General features: G+C 39.4%; 1 protein-coding gene and 2 long non-coding RNA genes across 4 annotated transcripts in view; 2 read left to right on the top strand and 1 right to left on the bottom strand.

Moving 5' to 3' along the window:
* Positions 749-2,155, top strand: ATXN3L (ataxin 3 like). Of its 2 annotated transcripts, NM_001387036.1 has the most exons (2): positions 749-1,101; positions 1,366-2,155. In NM_001387036.1, exons 1-2 carry the CDS (start codon positions 868-870, stop codon positions 1,933-1,935), a joined length of 804 nt encoding a protein of 267 aa, NP_001373965.1. In that variant the 5' UTR covers positions 749-867; the 3' UTR covers positions 1,936-2,155. The 2 variants fall into 2 exon arrangements, with proteins under 2 accessions (NP_001373965.1, NP_001129467.1); NM_001135995.2 differs by having other exon boundaries at positions 749-2,155.
* GS1-600G8.3 (unknown transcript) lies at positions 869-10,150 on the bottom strand. The gene is made up of 17 exons (NR_046087.1): positions 10,060-10,150; positions 9,880-9,946; positions 9,714-9,772; positions 9,089-9,100; positions 8,944-8,969; positions 8,671-8,741; positions 8,155-8,567; positions 7,931-8,040; positions 7,721-7,775; positions 7,462-7,533; positions 6,189-6,313; positions 5,735-5,804; positions 5,191-5,277; positions 4,100-4,240; positions 1,966-2,014; positions 1,309-1,794; positions 869-1,183 (listed from the first exon to the last, which is right to left on the bottom strand). It is a non-coding gene; the product is annotated as an unknown transcript (long non-coding RNA).
* A 7,199-nt stretch (positions 10,151-17,349) lies between these two features.
* Positions 17,350-20,668, top strand: part of LINC02154 (long intergenic non-protein coding RNA 2154) — a 37,405-nt gene continuing 34,086 nt past the window's right edge. Inside the window, exon 1 of the long non-coding RNA NR_146309.1 lies at positions 17,350-17,482. This is a non-coding gene — a long non-coding RNA (long intergenic non-protein coding RNA 2154). The remainder of the gene's footprint in view (positions 17,483-20,668) is intronic.

Here is a 20,668-nt window from a genome sequence, read left to right as displayed (position 1 = left end):
TCCCATAGTTACTACTGTGGTGAGGAACTCTGTGATATCTTACCCGGATACCTGCTAATATCTTTGTCACTACTAAGTTTGAGAAAGATTGTCTCTGAACTAGAAAACAGTAAAATCTAATGGTTACTACTTTTGTTAGGCACATACATTTCTTACCTGAACACCTGTAAAAACACATGGATAAGAAAAGAGTTCAGGACATCATCATCAGTTTTCTAGATGTCTGAAGATCATTTGGTCACTCATGTTTTTCAGGTCCACATAATCTCTAACTAGGATACCAGCAAAGTCCCATCTTCATTGCCACTGTGAGTTTTATTGTCATCTATTGACTGGAACCTACAAAATTCTATGGCTATTATTGTGGTCAGTGACATCATGATAACTTAGCCAGACAGTTCCAAAATCCCATGGTGTCCATTCGGTTAAAGCCCATGTTATTTCTCTCCCAGTTACCTGCCAAATCTTCTGTTTAGTGCTGTGGTAAATTTCACCTTTATTTACTTACTAAAACCATGCTGACAAGCATAATTAGAGAGACATTATTTTTATAGGACATCTGAAATTCCAACGGGCACTACTATGGTGCAAGTCACCATTATCATCTATGGGATAACTCCAAAATCCCATATTCACTTTAGGTTTACCATCAGCTTTTGACTGGATACTGGCAAAACCACCTTGGTCACAATAGTGCTTTGTGACATACCATCTCTTACCTGAATACCTGCAAAAACCCATGGTCTTCATAAGGTTTGAAAACCTAACATCTGTTACATGGCTATCCACAAACTGCCCAGGTAACTGCCATAGCTGGGCATACAACATCTTCCGGCATACCTACAGAAACTCACGGATACAATTAACATGGATTTCATCTTTCATGAGAAACAGGAAGGTTTCCTGTGTGCTCAGCACTGTCTGAACAATCTATTGCAAGGAGAATATTTTAGCCCTGTGGAATTAGCCTCAATTGCACATCAGCTAGATGAAGAAGAGAGGATGAGAATGGCAGAAGGAGGAGTCACCAGTGAAGAGTATCTTGCATTTTTACAGCAGCCTTCAGAAAACATGGATGATACCGGTTTCTTCTCCATTCAGGTAATAAGCAATGCCTTGAAGTTCTGGGGTTTAGAGATCATCCATTTCAATAATCCTGAATATCAGAAGCTCGGCATTGATCCTATAAATGAAAGATCTTTTATATGTAATTATAAACAACACTGGTTTACTATTAGAAAATTTGGAAAACACTGGTTTAACTTGAATTCTCTCTTGGCGGGTCCAGAATTAATATCAGATACATGCCTTGCAAATTTCTTGGCTCGATTACAACAACAAGCATATTCTGTATTTGTTGTCAAGGGTGATCTGCCAGACTGTGAAGCTGACCAACTCCTGCAGATCATCAGTGTCGAAGAGATGGATACACCAAAACTTAATGGAAAAAAATTAGTAAAACAAAAAGAGCATAGAGTCTATAAAACAGTCCTTGAAAAAGTATCAGAAGAAAGTGATGAGTCTGGAACATCAGACCAAGATGAGGAGGATTTTCAGAGGGCCCTTGAACTAAGCCGCCAAGAAACCAATAGAGAAGATGAACATCTCCGCAGTACTATTGAGTTAAGCATGCAAGGTAGTTCCGGAAACACATCGCAAGATCTTCCAAAGACATCATGTGTAACTCCTGCTTCAGAACAGCCGAAGAAAATAAAAGAAGACTATTTTGAAAAGCATCAGCAGGAACAGAAGCAGCAGCAACAACAGTCAGATCTGCCGGGCCACAGTTCATACCTACACGAAAGGCCAACAACAAGTTCGAGAGCAATTGAGAGTGATCTCAGTGATGACATCAGTGAAGGCACAGTACAGGCCGCTGTCGACACCATTTTAGAAATTATGAGAAAGAATTTGAAAATCAAAGGGGAAAAATAATGCCTTTAAAAATAATTTAGATAGTCATACTTTCCAACATTATCCTGTGTGATTATACTGTAGGATCCATTTTGGTCATCTGTCAAAGAGATGAGGAAATAAGGCTTTTAGACAGTTTGCAAACAAAATGACGAGAGAGATGTGGGACTAAATAATGATCGTTCAACTACTAGCCAAGGAGACATTCAGCAATTAATTAAATTTAAATTAGCTTTCAAAATGTTCCTTTGATTTTTGAGCCTGCAATATCTAATGTGTCTAAAATTGGGTCATTTTTCATGGATCTTTTTGTATACCAACGAATTAGCTCTTGCCATAGAACTTTTTCCATATAGTCTCTTCTATTGTAGATAATGTGGCTCATTTTGGTTGCTTTTATTTCTCATGAAACAATTTAACCTTTCAGGGAAGTGTCTCTTGTCTGTGTTGATCATAGTAACGGTTTTAGAAGGATAAACAGTTCTCCCTCCAACTATGTACTGTGCGCTTAAGTATATTCTTATGTTATTTCCTCTGATCACAATTTCTGCTACCTGGTCCTTAATTATTTTCCACAAGTCTTTCGAAATATGGTAATATTTTCTGAGGTTTTGTTTTTTACGCCCTCTGTGGTAAGATCATTATTTCATGACTCTGGTGCATTACTCTTTCTTTGTTTGGGGGTGGGGTGATGGGGGCAAAGACGCTCTGTCGCCCAGTCTGGACTGCAGTGGCCCAACCTCGGCTCACTGCAACATCTGCCTTCTGGGTTCAAGTGATTCTCGTGCCTCAGCCTCCCGACTAGCTGGGACTACAGGCATGTACAAGGACGCCCGGCTAAATTTTGTACTTTTAGTAGAGACAGGGTTTCACTATGTTGGCCAGGCTGGTCTCGAACTCCTGACCTAAAGTGATCTGCCCGCCTCGGCCTCCGAAAGTGTAGGGATTAAAGCGTGAGTCACTGGGCCAACCGCTGGTGCATTCTTATACTCTGAAATCAGCCCTGCACAAATATTTGAGAATGAGCGACTTTTTAAATGGGAAAAAAAAAAGGTAACATCAAGATTTCAGGATATATTATTGCTTATCTAGGTATCTAAAAAATCATATGGTCTGTAATATGTTTAAGGACCACATCATGTCTTACCTGGGTATCAAGAAATCCCATGTTTGCGCCTACTGTTAAATTCATCATCACCTATTGACTACAACCTGCAAAATCCCATGGTTAGGGACACCGTGATCACTTATTTAGAAATCCCCAAAATCTAATCATGTCTACTTGGTTAAAGCCCACATTATTTCTTTCCTCAATTCTTGCGAAATCCTATATTCATAAGAGCGGTTAAGATTGTCTTCATTATGTTGCTGGAATTTGCAAAAAAACCATGGTGACAACCATAATTAGACACACACCACCTGTTACCAAGATATGGGCACTACTCGTGGGCATTACCACGGCTTAGGCCAACATCATTCCCTACTGGGTATCTTCAAAAACTTATATTCACCAGAGCTTTAAGTGAGATACTTGTAAAATACCTTGGCACTTGGTTACAATTTGTGACACATCATCTCTCATGTGGATGCCTACAGAAGCCCAGGAGATCAACCAGATATAGAAATACCTACCAGACATGGAGACCTACAAATTAACCAAATTAAATGCCATTGCTAAGGACACATCATTTCTTTCCTGGGTGACTGAAAAACTGTTAAATACCTTGGGACTACCATTTCTAGTGACACATTATTACTTAACTGGTTATCTGCAAAATCCCGTGGTCACCACATGTTTAGACATTTTTAGAGACACCATCATATCTTCTCTGGCAGCTTGCAAAATCAGATGTGTAGAAGACACATGTGTAGAAGGACATGGGGTTTTCCACCAGCACTCCTACAAATAACCTTGATTTCCATCTTTTGGGGACACACCCACTCGACCTGGATACTTGCAGTAATCTCAGGTCGACCCTGATAGCAGAAAACCACCGTTTCTCGACTGTTCACCTGTAGACATCCTAGGGGCAGCACGGGGGCGGGGAATACAGTGATAAATACCTGACTCCCTGCAATCCCTCTACACTCACAGGTTTCAGCATACACTTTTGTTGAAACAGAAAATGGGAAAACCTGGCCAATCTGGGATTGGTAAGGACTCAATCATTTCTCAGCTGAGTACCTGTGAAAGAAATCACGGCGGGAAGACGTGTGGGGACATCTCATCAGTGAACCAGGTCCCTGGGACAGTCCCATGGTGCATGCTGTGGTTTATGCGTGCATCAGCAATACCTCAGCCAGACTCTCAAAAAAAGAAAAAAAACTATGAAAACACAGAAAAAAATGGTCATAAATCCAACAAATACATAAAGCCAGAGCTCTTAGCTGGACACTTATAAAATACTTTGGTTACGGTAGTGGCAGTTACTTACAATTTATGACATATCATCTCTCATGCGGATGCCTACAGAAGCCCATGAGATCTATCAGATTTAGAAAAACCTACCATACATGGAGACCTACAAATTACCCAGATTAAATGCCATTGCTAGGGACATACCATTTCTTTCCTGGGTAACTGCTGAATACCTTGGTACTACAATTTCTAGGAACACATTATTCCTTAATTGGATATCTGCAAAATCCCACGGTCACCACATTTTTAGAGACACAATCATCTCTTACCTGGTGATTTGCAAAATTCCTTGTTCAGTATCACGGTTAGGATCTCTGTGATCTCTTAATTACTGGCTTACAAAATTTCATCATAACTTTCATGGTTAAGGGGACCACCATCTTTTTACTAGACCCCTGACAATCTCATGATCTCATGGTTATTTTGTGATTAGGTTCGCCATCATATCTGGAATACCACAAAATGTCATATTCACTAACATGGGAAGCGGCATCATCAGCTCCTTCATGCCTACCTGAGCAAACTCAATTTTGGTAGTCAAGTTAGGGTCACCATCCTCACTTATCTCGATATCTAGAAAATATCATGGTCACCCCCATGGTGAAGTTTATCATCATTTCTTAACTCTGTAACTTCAGTATTCTATGTTCACTTCCTAAGCAGAAACATTCATTTGTTACCTGGATATTTTAAAAATTTCAGACATTACCATGGAGATGGTCATTGTCATCTTTTCATTCTATAGCTAAAAAATCCCATGGGCACTACCATGGTCAGGGACGGGCCCATCATCTGTTTTTGCATTCCTTCAAAATACCATGGTCACTACAATGATGAGAGCCATGATCATCTCGTACCTGAATCACTACCAAATCCGAGAGTCCATAAATCGCCTGGAGAGACCTCAATGTTGTCCTCATGCTCTGACTTCTGCCTGCCTGAACCTGAAACTGCAAGTGTGATCAATGGCTCAACAGACACAGCTTTTCCATCAGGATCCTGCAAACCGCCTTGCTCAGTATAATCACTGTGGGAGTCAAAAATGTATTTGGATGCTTGCAGGCCCTCCAGGGTCTAGGCCATTGTAGGACACACTATTTTTCCCTGGCCAGTTTCCCTGCAAATCCACCACAGTTACTCCTGTGATGCACAATGCCACATGAGTTCCCTGGGTATGTGACAATCAATCAGCCCTCACAGACCACATACATCATACATTCTTTCCAGGGTAGAAATCAATAGGATCACATGGCGAGGAGAACGGAGAGCCGCTACCCTTTCTTACCAAAATACCTGTTAACCCATCACATGATAAACCCTTCAGGCAAAGGAACCTTGCTTACCTAGGTATGTGGAGATCGCCTGGTGTGTGGTGAGTTTACCATGAACACCATCACTTACCCAGATAGCAGACGTGTTCCCTGATCCTGACTCCTGTTTATCGGGATTTCCTTGTGGGACCCTGGAAAACCTACACTGAGATATATGCCTCAGAAACACACAAAGTGTTCTAACAGGACACATGCAAATCACAATGCTCGCATCCATCGTTGAAGGACTCTTACTTGGATGCTGGTGGGACCCCCTAAGCTCAGGGCTGCAGGCCCAGAAAACAGCATTTCTCTCTACAAGACACCTGCAAAATGTCCAGCGTAATCGCTGTGGCTGGGAACCCCAAGATCATTACCTGGTATTTGCAGTCCCACTGTGCTCACTGGGTTAGACATTGTCTCTGAAATATGCAGAGGGAAATCTCACGGTTTCTAGTGTGCCAGGGACATTTGTCATTTCTGACCAGGACACCTGAGGTGAAATCATGGGAACAACAGGAAGTATGGACACCATCCTCACTTACCTATACACCTGAACTTCAAGTGGCCCATGTGTTGCTTTGGGTCCTCATGCAGCCTTGACCTGCAGAGCAGCCCTGCTTCCTGATAGGGACCCATGTTGGATTCACTGTGATGTCATAGCAGGAATCTGAAAGAGGCACCAATACATATGTGTAAAAAGACAGGGGGTTTTCTGCAAAGACTCCCACAAAGTCCCATGTTTATTTCCATCTTTATGGGACACACCCACTCGATGTGTATAGTTGCAGTAATCTCAGGTCGACCCTGACAGCAGAAAACTACTGTTTCTCAACTGCACATCTCTAGAAATCGGAGCGGCAGCACAGAAGTGGGGAACACAGCGATAAATACCTGGCTCCCTGCAATCCCTCAACACTCACAGGGTTCAGCATATACTTTTATAAAATGGGAAAACCCGGCCTATCTGGGAGTGGTGAAAACGGAATCATTTCTCATCTGAATACATGGAAAAGAAATCATGGCGGGAAGATGTGTAGGGGCACATCATCATTGAAATAAGCCTCTGTGACAGTACGATGCTGCGGGCTGTGGTTTAGGCCTGTGTCAGCACTTACCTCAGCCAGCAATGCCCCACGTTACCTAGCTTCAAAAGGCCTGCTGTGATGCCCTGACATTCATCTGAAAGACATATTGGGGAAACTCTGCTTGGTACACAACCTATGCTACGAGGACACCCACAAATACTCTTGTTCATTGGTATCGTTTCGCAACTCATCCAGGTTACCCAGATAACTGAAAATATCTAAGCCAGAGCCTCCGAGGGATACCTGGAGAAACAGCACAGTCCACATCGGGGTGACAGACAATATGATCAACTACCTGGGCACTGGCATATCTGTTTCTCACGTGGAGGGTCAGATTTACCGAAAAAAAAAAATAAAAGCCCTTACCTCTGAATAAGCAAACAGTAAAATCTCATGCTTACTGGCATTGGGAATCACTAATTATTTTTTCTCAATGACACATATGCCAAACACAAGGTTACTCTACCAGACTTAAACCATCATTAACTATCTACATGCAGGAAATTCAGAATGTCTTTCATGAGGTAATGCCACAACATCTCCTACCTCTCTACAGGAAGAGAACTTTACGGGACTCCTGCAGGAAACCATGGGAAAAACACTGTGTCAAGGACAGTGCCCTCTTTGTCCAGGAAATCTGAAGTTCAAGTGGTCTGTATTGGCATAGGACTGGTGTCATCCATTACCTGGTTACTATCCAGGGCCTCTGAATGGCCATTCTCAGACCCACCTTGATCTCATGACTAGCAGCAGCAGAAGAAACGCATCTGACAGGTGTTTTCCGGGATGCCACTTGGCATACCTGAAAGACGAAAAAGACACGCACCGCACAGGCTGGTCACTGCCATCATCCGGGAACCATCAACCTTACCTAGATCCTGGCAGAACTCCAACGTCCACCCCACTGTTGGCGCCACTATCGGCTCTGGACTGAGGATGTGTCAGAACTATCATTCCATCCTGTGGTCTGGTAGAGTAGGATAATTCACCTGGACACCCGCATCTACCACAGTCAACACGGACTCAGGTTCAATGCACATTATCCTAAAGTCGAACACAGCAAGGACTAATGCTTACTAGCCTTGGTTGGCAGAGCATTGTTTCTTAACTGAATAACTGCAGAAAATAAAAAACAGAAAATGAGCTGAGAAAACCCATGGCAGGACAGGAAAAATAGCAGGAATGACATCGGTGATTACCTGTGTATCGGAAGACTGGATCGTCCATGGCCTGCTTACGCCCATACTGTCTCCTCTCTGGATATGGGCAGAGTGCCCCTGCTCGAGCATAATGAGGGTTCCCTTGACTTCTGGAAGGGAATGTGAAACCACATGTGTTACAATCTGCCTACAGACACAGCTTTTCCACCAGGACCCAGAAAACCACCTGCTCACTAACATCATTGTGGGAGCCAAAAATCTACCTGGATGCTTGTGGTTGCTCCAAGGGGTAGGACATCATAGGACACTTCATTTTCTCTGGCCGTCTTCTCTGCACATCCACCTTAGTTACTCCTGTGATGCACAGTGCCACTGGAGTTCCCTGGTTACGTGCCAATCCATCAGCACTCACAGGGTACTTACCTCATACGTTCTCTCCAAGACAGAAAACAATAGGATTACATGGCAAGGAGAACGAGGAGCCACTACCCTTTCTTACCGGAATACCCATAAACGCATCACATGGTAAACTGTTCAGGGAAAGGAACCTCACTGACCTACAAACGTGAAGATCAGGTTGTCCGTGGTAAGTTTATGGTGCACACAATCACTTACCCAGATAGCAGACACGTCCCCTGCTCATGACCCCCGTTCTTCAGGATTTTCTCCCGGGAACCTGGAAAACATATACTGAGATATATGCCTCAGAAACACACAAGGTGTTCTACCAGGACACCTGCAAATCACGATGCTCACATCCATCACTGAAGGACTCTTACCTGAATGCTAGTGGGGGCCCCCAAGCTCAGGGCGGTGGTCCCAGAAGACAGCATTTCTCTCTACAGGACACCTGCAAAATGTCCATGGTCACTGCTGTGGGAAGGAACACCGGATAATTACCAAGTATTCAAAGTTCCACTGTGAACACGGGGTTAGGCATTGTCTCTGAAATATGCAGAGGGAAAACTCACGGTTTCGAATATGTCAGGGACACCTGAAGCGAAATCGGGAACAACAGGGAGGCCTACACCATCATCACCATCATCACTTACCAAGACAAGACTCAATCATTTCTCACCTGAATAAGTATGAAGGAAATAATGGTGGTAAGGCCTGTAGGGACACATCATCACTCAACTGTGTCTCTGTGACAGTCCCACGGTGCAGGCTGTGGTTTAGGCCCACATCAGCACTTACCTCAGCCAGACTCTGTTTCAAAAAGAAAGAAAACAATAGATAACATGAAAGTCTTACATCCAAGGAATAAATAAAGCTACAGCTTTAAGCTGGATACTTATAAAACACCTAGGTTACAATGGTGGCAATTGGTTGCAATTTGTGTCACGTCATCTCTCATGTGGATGCCTACAGAAGCCCGTGAGATCTACCAGATTTAGAGAAGCCTACCATACATGAAGACCTACAAATTACCCAGATTAAATGCCATTGCTAGGGACACATCATTTCTTTCCAGGGTAACTGTAAAATCCCTTGGTACTACCATTACTAGTAACACATTATTCCTTGATTGGATATCCTCAAAATTCCATGGTCACCATATTTTTAGAGATACCATCATCTCTTACCTGGTTACTTGCAAAATCCCCTGCTCCTTACTGTGGTTATTATCAGCATCATCTCTTAATTACTGACCTACAAATTTCGTCATAACCTTCACAGTTAAGGGCACCATCATGTCTTTACTAGACCCCTGACAATCTCATGGTCATTTTGTGGTTAGGTTCGCCATCATGTCTGGAATAGCACAAAATGCCATGTTCACTAACATGGTAAGAAACATCTTCAGCTCCTATGTGCTTACCTGAGGAAATCCAATTTTGGTACTCGAGTTAGGGCCATCATCCTCTCTTATCTGGATATCTAGAAAACACCATGCTCACCCCCACTGTTAGGTTTATCATCATTTCCTACCTTTATAACTTCAGTATCCCATGTTCAATTCCTAAGTAGAAACACTCATTTCTTACCTGGATATTCACAAATTCCCGTAGACATTACCCTGGATATGGCCACTGTCATCTTTTCACTCTATAGCTACAAAATCCCATGGGCACTATCATGGTTACGGACATGTCTATCATCTGTTTTTTGGATTCCTGCAAAATACTGTGGTCACTACAATGATGAGGGCCATGATCATCCCATACCTGAATCACTACCAAATCCTATGGTCCCTGAATCTCCTGGAGAGACCTCAAGGCTCCTCCCACTCTGACTTCTGCCTGGCTCACCAGCCTCAGTGCTTGCTGTTTCCCTATCCCCCTTTATTATATCAACATTCTAAGCAGTTTAAGTTCCGTAACATTCCTTTTTCTCCTGGTTAGCTGTAACACAGTGTTCACACCTGTCCTTACCATCTAATGAGAACTGATTATTGTCATTTCCTTGTAACTTAGTGTTCCTTGTCCTTAAAATTGGCCATGGTGGGAGTACCAACTAGGATTTTTATTCTAGGAGAGCGAGTTATTAAGCTCTCCTGGATGTGCTGATGAATAAAGTAATAAATAAAAAGAAGTACTACTGAATAGTAACACCTCAATCTTCTCTTTTTTCATTAACTTGATCTGACTTTTGTGGATGAATGTGTCAGTTCACTCCATACCTGGCTTAAAATCTATCGTCTTTCCAAATATTTATACTTAATGAATAAAATGGGTATACACTTTTATTACAAATTAGATAATATTATATTAATGCTGTCCAAGGACTTACATAATCTCAATATGTCCAAAGTTCATAAACTTGCTGAAAAAGAAAAACAATAATTAAGTAATTATTTTTATACAACTGCTGGAAAAAAACTCGTTATTTTAAAAATTAGATGTATTACTAGACCTAGCAAATGAAAATCATTGAGATATACATACTCACTGATATATGTATGTGACGTGTACATATATACACCACACACACACACACACACACACACACATCCTTACCTCACCCATTTGCCAGAGCAAATCTTTTCTTTTTTTTTGCCATGTAAATTTCTTCCTGCACTCTTTGTGGAAACCTAAATTTCCATCAGTGACCGCATTTAGATTCCATGAGATTCTTAGTCACGAATTCCTTTGAAAACCAAGTAAAATGTCAAGAGAGAGAAGCAGCACCCTATAGCCCCTCTTTTTAGTTCCACAGTGTGGGAGCCAATTTTCTTGTAATTCTGGAGAGGAAAAAAATCACCATGTGGCTATAATTCTGAAGACTGTTTTTTTAGATTGCCCAGAGACTAGCAGATGCAGAATGAAATAAATAAAGGCTATTTTTCTCATGTTTGAGGTGGTTTCCAATTAATACTTCTTTATTTCTCTTTGCCACTCCACTTTTCCCCAATCTTTCCTGATAATAGAGTACAAATAACCTAAATGTTCTATGGTGATTGTAGATACAAAACTGATATATCATTAGGCAATTTTTCCTTTTTAAAGAAAATGTTCTATTTTTTCATGATTATTCTTAGCTACTACCTACTTCTACTCACCAAAGTCAACCATCAGCCATGAGAAAGAATATTGAGGCCATAATTAAAACAATGGCAGGGGCATGAACAACACCTGAGAATGCTGCTCTGTCTCCTATATCTACTTCTCATTCAACCCAACCCTTTACTTTTTGAAAATGAAAAATATTACCTTTTTTTCTAGTAATGATTTTGTTAACTTTCATTGATTGACTTCCCATGGAATTATTTCCTGGCTGGCAGGGAATTAAATGTGATTTAAAATTATAATGTACTACCAAGTGAGTTTTTATGTCCAAAGTTCATGAAATCATATTCATTAGGGGCTTTTCCTTCATATTCTGACTTACATGAAGGCAACGTTTTGCAGTCATATGTATTAGTAAGGTGGTGATAGGGTAACTGAAGAGCTTACCTCTCTGTGTTTATCAACATCTGGCGACAAGAGACATCTGACCTCTGGTTTAGGCTAAGCAGAGGACAAAGTCTGGCATTTGGGCTTTCAGTTATGCCACACCCTGACTTAGCAAGGCTCTTTGCCTTTAGTAGCCTTGTACCTTCCCTCAGAGCATGATTTAGATGACTTCCAAAATTAATTCTATATTTTATGTCTCATGTCTTGCCTATTATGTCTGGATATAATTGCAATACTATGTAACTGTTATTTTTATATATGATATATGCAGTGGACCCTTGAAGAACAAGGGTTGCTGTGCAGGTCCACTTTTATGCAGATTTCCTTCTGCCTCTGCCACCCCAAGGCAGCGAGATCAACCTATCCTCTTCCTCCTCCTCCTTTGTCTACTTAACACAAAGACAGTGAGGATGAAGACCTTTATCATGAGCCACTTCCACTTAATGGTAAATATATTCTTTCTTCCTTATGATTTTCTTTTCTCTAGCTTACTTTATTGTAAGACTACAGTGTATAATACATATAACATGCAAAATATGCGTTAACCAACTGTTTATGTTACCAGTTAGGCTTCCGGTCACCAGTAGGCTTTTAGTAGGTAAATTTGGAGGGAGTCAAAAGTTACACACATTTTCGGCTGTGTGGGGGCCGGTATTCCTAACACTCATGTTGTTCAAGGATGAACTGTATTATATAACATATATCCTATATATACCAGTATAGATATTAATAACAATTATTTTATTTTATATAAGCTTGGAACTCCTGGGATACTAAAATTACTATTTTTGAACCTAAAAAAAAAAATCAACCACCCCCCGAAACAGGCTTCCACTACTAAGCTATACTATTTATCTTAAATATGAAACACTATTATATCTTACCCGTTTTTAGAAGCAGACACTACAACAATCAAATTTTCTGGGCACAGTGAAAAATATCATTATCTGCGTACACGGATTTGTATATAATTTAACGGATATTTACAAAGCCCAGTATTGTTAGGTATGATGAGAAGTCAAAGATTTGTGGTTTGTTTTTCATATAGCTGGTGGTATTTTTTGTTTTTGTTGTTGAATTTTGCTGTTTCAATATACCAGTGTGCTTCAGGCACTTTTCTTCTCTGTTTTGTTTGTTTGTTTGTTTTTTGGTTTGTTTCTTTCATACAGAAAAATGTTGCCACTTATCAAGGGGAATGATTAAACATATGAAGTAGTCATATGATGAAGTATTTAAAATCATTAAATATCATACTTTAGAAAATATCAAATATCAACTCAAGTGTATGCTGCTTGGGTAATGGGTACACCAAAATCTCAGAAATCACCACTAAAGAACTTACTCATGTAACCCAACCACCACCTGTTCCCCAAAAATCTATTGAAATAAAAAAAATTAGCTTATCAAATCTGAAAAAGAAAGAAAATATCAACTGACCTCCTAAAATGCCCATGAAATGATACTGAGGGGAGGGGAAAAGATAAAGGTGATGTACACAGAATAAATGCAATTACACTTAAAATGCATTTACATGCAAAAAAAAAATAAGTAGCAAAGAAATACACTAAACAGTTATCTCTGAGAGTATAATAATGAGTGATTTTTATATTTCTCTGTAGACGCTGTGTAAGTTGTAAATTTATACAAGGCACATATTTGACTAATTAACAGGAACAGGATAAAATTATCTTCAAAGTATCATTCTGTTCTCTTCTTGACTCTTTGTCTGACAAGAACAAGATTGTCTGGTGAGGCTGTTATGAGGATGAAATTGGAGAGCATCTGTAAACCATATGTGAAGCTCAACAGGTCAAAAGAGCTTGGTTCTCATTCTTCCACTAAGGCTATTTTCGAAATTTTATCTGTACCTTTAATTTGTAGTTTCTTTGTATTATTACTATAACACAAGATTTGCTCTGTATTATTACTATAACACAAGGAAACTACAAATTAAAGGTACAGATAATATTTTTGTTTGTATAAGCTGCACACTAAACCACTATAATTGTGCAAAGGTGTTTAACTCTTAGGACTCCAGCACCCATAGGCCTCCACTCCAATAAGGAGATTATACTGTGAATTACTGACCTGTAAGCTTCGTGGGGCAGGATTCCAAGACTAACTTCCTTGGTCAAATGAGAAAATAGTCCAGAGAAAAATATTATCTTTGTAATACAGAAATTAATAAAGAGATAAAAATAATGAGATCTTTAGGATCCTAGTATAGACAAAGAAGCCATGGTGGCTAATTTCTCAGATTCTAGCAGGGCTTCTTTACCTCCGCCCTACTGACAATTTGGGCCAGATAACTTTTTGTGGATAATTATTTGTTATGGGAACTGTCCTGTGTGTTGTAGGATGTTTAGCAGCATCCCTGGCCTCTACCCACAAGACACCAATAGCAATCACTTCTCTAGGTGTGACAATTAGAAACGTCTCCAGACATTGCCAAATGTCCCTGCAGGAGTAAAACTGCCCCTAGTTGAGAATCATTGGATTATAGAAAGAAGGAAAATAAAAATCATGATGTTCTTTCATTTTCTCCAAATCATCCGACCAACAACATTGCTAATGGTAATCTAGAGACAGTTCATAACAAAACAGGCTTAATTTAGAAAGATATAGTTATGGATTCAGCCACTTTGATTAAAAAGTTGTAATTCTTGTCTTTAGTCCACTGCCCATTCATCCTAGGGAGAAGATTTTATCAAGTACTAGTAAGTAGTAGGCCTTAGGCTACAATCTACCAACATGTGTCTAATTCAAGGGCAAAGAGTTGGAAACTCATAAGGTGGAGAGGAGGTCTACTTATAAGCCAAAGAAAGCACATTCCAGAGTTACTTTACTTAAGAATTAACAACTACAATACAGAGAATTTGTGAAAAACCCATTCTGCCACTGAGAAGGCCACTGGGATTTGATACAGTGGAAATGAAATCTGGTTCAAACCATAAGGCCATATCTCCCTAAAAGATTCCCCTTTTGAAAACTGCATTTAATTTGACTAACTACTCAACAAAATATTATATTCATAGAATGCAATTCTAGGAGAAAAGTTGGTTTGATGAAAGAATCAGTGGCGTCTGGCTGTAATCAATATGCATGATTGCCATGAACCATAGATAGGCTAATTCCACTTAGATTTAAGCACCCTTCCTCTAGTTGTATACCGGTCATGCTTCCTGATTAGCTCTGATATGCAAAGAGCTTAGAAGTCAACATTCCTGTTCTCACAGCAAGAAAAATGCTGAACAAGCTAACAATCAACAACTTTTCTTAAATCTACCAGAGAATTGAGGTCACAGGGCAAACTGCCACCCCCAAAACTGTAGAGATGTGTAAATACAAAGAATTACAGTTTACCAAGAGCAGAGGCTTCTGGAACCAGTAACTGGTAGGAACACTTAAATGGTAATTGATAAACTGCTGAAGGCTGAGTGCAGACTAACTTGAGATTTAAAAACTCCTGATGGCCCAGTTTTAGGAAGCTCCACACTTTTGTGGGATTTACCACTAGGTGCCCCACCGAAAGTAAAAATCATATGGGAGAGAAATCTCCTCTGCTTTGAGCAAGAGGAAAGAAGAAGTGCCATTTTGAAATAAGCCCAGGGTTTTCTGTGCCACTAGGAGCCCCATAAGAGTAAAAATCATATGGGAGACAAATCTCCTTTGCTTTGAGCAAGAGGAAAGAAGAAGTGCCATTTTGAAATAAGCCCAGAGTTTTCTGTTCTCTGTCACAAGAGTTACATCAAGGGAAATTACCAGAGTCTTATGTGACCAAGAAGAAGGGCAACTAGACAATGCTAGTTCCCCCTAGCCTTCGTGTCTCACATAATGATAAGGAAAAAAAAGGCTGAGAAATGCTGAATGTCACAGCTCAGGGACTCAGGCCCACTAAAAATAGCTGAGATTTAATTATAAGATTATAGAGTGCTTACCCTCCTTAAAGTCTTACCACCACATCAGCAAGGCTCCAGTAAAAAAACGGTGGATTACAACTGAGAGAACTGAAAGACGTAATCTATTTAAGAAAGAGTTCTTAGCGGAACCTAAAGGCACCATGGAAGCAGGGAATAAAAGGAAACTATAGAAAACTGGAGCCTCTGGCATATATGCGTTACAATTAACATTAAACGTAGCCTAGCTCCTAGCCAGATCAACATAAAGCCTTATATTAAAAGCCCAATTAACTCAGTTTCTATTACTAGATATAGCATGATCACTTCCAACAGAAAAAAATTATGAGATATGCTAAGGGAAGGAAAAAATAAAGTCTGAAGAGACAAAGCAAGCATCAGTATCTGACTCAGATATATTCAGATTTTGGAATTATCAGATAAGAAACTTAAACAACTATTATTGATATATTAAGGGCTCTGTGGTATAATAAAGAATTTGGCCAGGTATGGTAGCTCAGACCTGTAATCCCAGCACTTTGGGAGGCTGAGACGGGAGGATCACTTGGGCCCAGCAGTTTGAGATCAGCCTGGGCAACATAGTGAGATCACATCTCTACAAAAAATCAAACAATTAGCCAGGCAAGGTGGTATGTACCCATAGTCCCAGCTACTTGGGAGGCTGAGGTGGGAGGATCGCTTGAGCCCAAGAGGTGGAGGTTGCAGTGAGCCAAGATTGCCTTACGGTGCTCCAGCCTGGGCAACAGAGCAAGACCTTGTCTTTAAAAAAAAAAAAAAAAAAGTTTATCTGGCCTTTGATCTTAGTTCCTGACAAAGAACTTCAAACATCCTGGGAATTTCCTGAGAGATAGAAATTATTTGTTATGCTAATGAGGTAACTCATGACAGACTCCTAGTTAGCTTCAGGATGGGAGATGGACACCAGAAAGACCAAACACACGATTAGAAGGCTGGAACTTTGGGCCAGTTTTACCTGCATGGAAAAGAGGGCTAGAGACTGAGCTCAATTATGTGGCCAATTGCATATCCAATCATGCCTGTGTAATCATATTCCACATAAAAAATGTGTACACTGAAACTCAGTGGAGTTTTCTGGTTGGTGAACATACTGGTGTACAGGGAGGATGATGCACTCAGATTCCTTGGGAAGAGAGTATGAAAATTTTGCATCCAGAGCCCTTCCAGATCTTGTCCTAAGTGTATACTTTATAATAAAACTCTACATGTAGAGTTTTACACATAGTCTACTTTCAGTGAGTTCTGAGCCATATCGAATTATCAAAACTGAGGTAGTTATGGGAACTCCCAAATTTATAATCAGTCAGAGGTGCAGGGAGCCTGGGGACTGGGGACTCCACTTGTGGCTGGCATCTGGAATAAGAAGCAGTCTTGTGGAGGACTGAGCCATTAATTTGTGGAATTTGGTGCTAACTCTAGGTCATTAGTGCCAGAATTGAATTGTAGTACTCCAGGTAGTCAAAACAGAAAAAGCCTGATATGGTTTGGCTGTGTCCCCACCCAAATGTAATCTTGAATTGTAGCTCCCACAATTCCCATGTGTCATAGGAGGGACCCAGTGGGAGGTAACTGAATCATGGGGGCGGGCCTTTCCCATGCTGTTCTTGTGATAGTGACTAAGTCTCATGAGATCTGATGGTTTTATAAAGAGGAGTTCCCCTGCACAAGCTCCCTCTCTTGCCTGCCACCATGTAAGAAGTCCCTTTGGTCTTCCTTTGTCTTCTGCCGTGATTGTGAGGCCTCCCCAGCCATGTGGAACTGTGAGTCCATTAATCTCTTGCCTTTATAAATTACCCAGTCTCAGATATGTCTTTAATAGCAGTGTGAGAACAGACTAATACGAAGCCCTAGTGGAAACAATAGACAACATGAAGGCACAGGTGGGTAATGTAAGCACAGAGATGAAAACCCTAAGAAAGAATCAAAAGGAAATGCTAGAAATAAAAAAACATTGTGACAGAAATGAAGAAATGAAGAATGTATTTAAAGGCTCATCAGCAGGTTGGAAATGTCTGGGGAAAGAATTAATGAGCTTGGTGATAGGTCAACAGAAACTTTCCAAACTGGAAGGCAAAGAGAAAAAAAGAATGGGAAAAATAACGAAATATCCAAGAAGTGTATAATCATTACAAAAGGTGTAACATATACATAATGGGAATACTAAAAGGAAAAGAAAGAGAAAGAAGAACAGAAGAAATATTTGAAGTAATAATAGCTCAGAATTTTCTGAAATTATTGAAACACATCAAAACACAGATCCAGGAAGGTTAGACAACACCAAGCAAGACAAATCCAAAAAATCGACATCTAGGCATTTCACATTCAAACTGCAGAAAATCAAAAGCTAAGAGAAAATCTTGAAAGAAATGAGAGAGTTGGGGGAAGCATTACCTATAAAGCAACAAGGATAAGAATTACATCAGACTTCTCATCGGGGACCATGCAAGCAAGAAGAGAATAAAGTGAAATATTGAAAGTGTTGAAAGAAAAATAAAGAAAAACACAAGCTTAAAATTCTTCATCCAGTGAAGTTATCCTTCTAAAGTGAAGAAGGAAAAAAAGACTTTCTCAGACAAAAACTGAGGTAATTTGTTGCCAGTAGACTTGCCTTGCACGAAATACTCAAATAAGTTCCTCAGAGAGAAGGAAATTGATATAGGTCAGAAATTCAGATCTGATCTGAAAGAAAGAAAGGAAGGAAGAACATTAGCAGGGAATCAACAAGATTTAAACAAGATCTTTCATTTTTCATATTTTAAATTGATTTAATAAATAACTGTTCAAAGTAAGAGTAATAGCAACAATGTATTGGGTAGTTATAGCTTATGGATGAGTGAAATGAATGACAGCAATGGTACAAGGAATGGAAGAAAGTAATTGGAAATGCTTTGTTATAAGGTATCTGCATTACCCGTGAAGCATTATAGTATTATTTGAAAGTGTACTTAGATTAGTTGTAAATATATATTGCAAACTCTAAGACAAACACTAAAACATTTTTTCAAAGAAATATCATTGATGTGCTAAGAGAAGAGAGAAAATGGGTTCATATAAAATGCTCAGTTAAAACCAGAGAAGGCAGGAAAATGGGGGCGGGGGGTGGGGGTGATAAAAATGAAACAAAGAAAAAGTGCAACAAATAGAAAACGGTTACAAACATTGTAGATACTAATCCAACTATATTACTACTCACTGTGAATAATAGTTTAAATCACCAATTAAAAGGCAGAGACTGTCAGAGTGTATAGAAAAAACAAGACCCAACTATATAATTCCTATTATATTTAATGAAGCCCACTATATATATAAAGACACAGCTACATTAAAAGTAAAGGGATAGAGAAAGATATACCATGATAACACAAATCAAATGAAAGCTATAGTAGCAATACCAATTTCAGACAAAGCAGACCAGAAAATTATCAGGGATAAGGAAGGGTATGATACAATTATACAGGGGCCAATTCTCCAAGAAGACATAGCAATCCTCAACATGTATGTACCTAACAACAGATCATCAAAGTATGTGAGGCAAAACTGATAGAACTTCAAGGAGAAATAGACAAATCTATTATTATAGCCGGAAACTTCAAAACTTCTCTATCAGTAATTGACAGATACAGCAGGCAGAAAATCAGTAAGGCATTGTTGAACTGAAGAACACCATCAATTAACTGGATCTAACTGACATCCGTAGATTTAGAATACTTCCTCCAACAAAGCAGAATACAAATTCTTCTCAAGCTCACATGGAACATTCAGCTTCCAACATTCAGAACGTGCATTCTGGGCCATAAAACATCCTAACAAACTTAAAAAAGATATCATACAAAGTTTGCTCTCAGGTCACAGTGGAATTAAGTTGGAAATCAATAATAGAAAGATAGCTGAAAATTTTCAAAATATTTGAATATTAAGCATACTTCTAAACATATGTGTCAAGTATCAAGAAAAATTTTAAAATATTTTGAACTAAATGAAAATGAAAATACAACTTTTCAAAACTTGTTGAATGCAGCAAAAGTAGTGGTTAGAGAGAAATTTATAGCCGTGAATGCATATTATTAGAAAAGAGAAAAGATCTAAACAGCAATCTAAGTTTCCACCTTAGGAAACTAGAGAAGAGCAATATAAACCTAAAGCAAGCAGAAAACAAGAAGTAACAGAAATTACAGCACAAATCAATGAAACTGAAAACAGGAAAACAATAAAGAATATCAACAAAATCAAAAGCTGCTTCTTAGAAAAGATCAATAAAATTGATAAACATCTAGCTTGACTAATCAAGACAAAAAGAAGACACAAATTACTAACATCAGAAATGAAAGAGGGGCCATCACTGCTGATCTCATAGACACTAAAAGGATAATAAAGGAATATTATAAATAACTCTATGCCCACAAATTTGATAACTTAGATGAAATACACAAATTCCCTGAAAGATATAAGCTACCAAAATACACACAAAAAGAAATAGATAGTTTTAACTGCCCAAAACTGGAAACAACAAGATGTCTTTCAATAGGTGAATAAACAAAATTTAGTACATCCATACAATGGATAATTATTCAGTGATGAAAAAAAAAAGAGCTACCAAGATGTAAGAAGACACAAAGGAAACTTAAAAGCATATTCCTAAGTGAAAAAAAAGCCAGTCTGAAAAGGCTACCTACTGTATGATTCCAACTATATGACATTCTGGAATAGGCAAAATTATGGAGACAGTCAAAAGTTCAGTGGTTGCCAGGGGATTGGGATGGGGGTGGGTGGAAGGAAAGCTATAAATAGGTGAAGTACAGGAAAATTTTAGTGTGGTGAAACTATTCCATATAATACTATAATGATGGATATATGATGTTATGCATTTATCAAAACCCATAGAACTGTACAACACAAAGAGTGAAACTTAAGGTAAACTACAGATTTTATTTAATAATAATGTACAA

Source organism: Homo sapiens, chromosome X, assembly GCF_000001405.40.
Source record: "Homo sapiens chromosome X, GRCh38.p14 Primary Assembly".
In the NCBI taxonomy this organism is placed as follows: Eukaryota; Metazoa; Chordata; class Mammalia; order Primates; family Hominidae; genus Homo; species Homo sapiens.
This window is presented reverse-complemented; position numbering and strand designations above follow the sequence as displayed.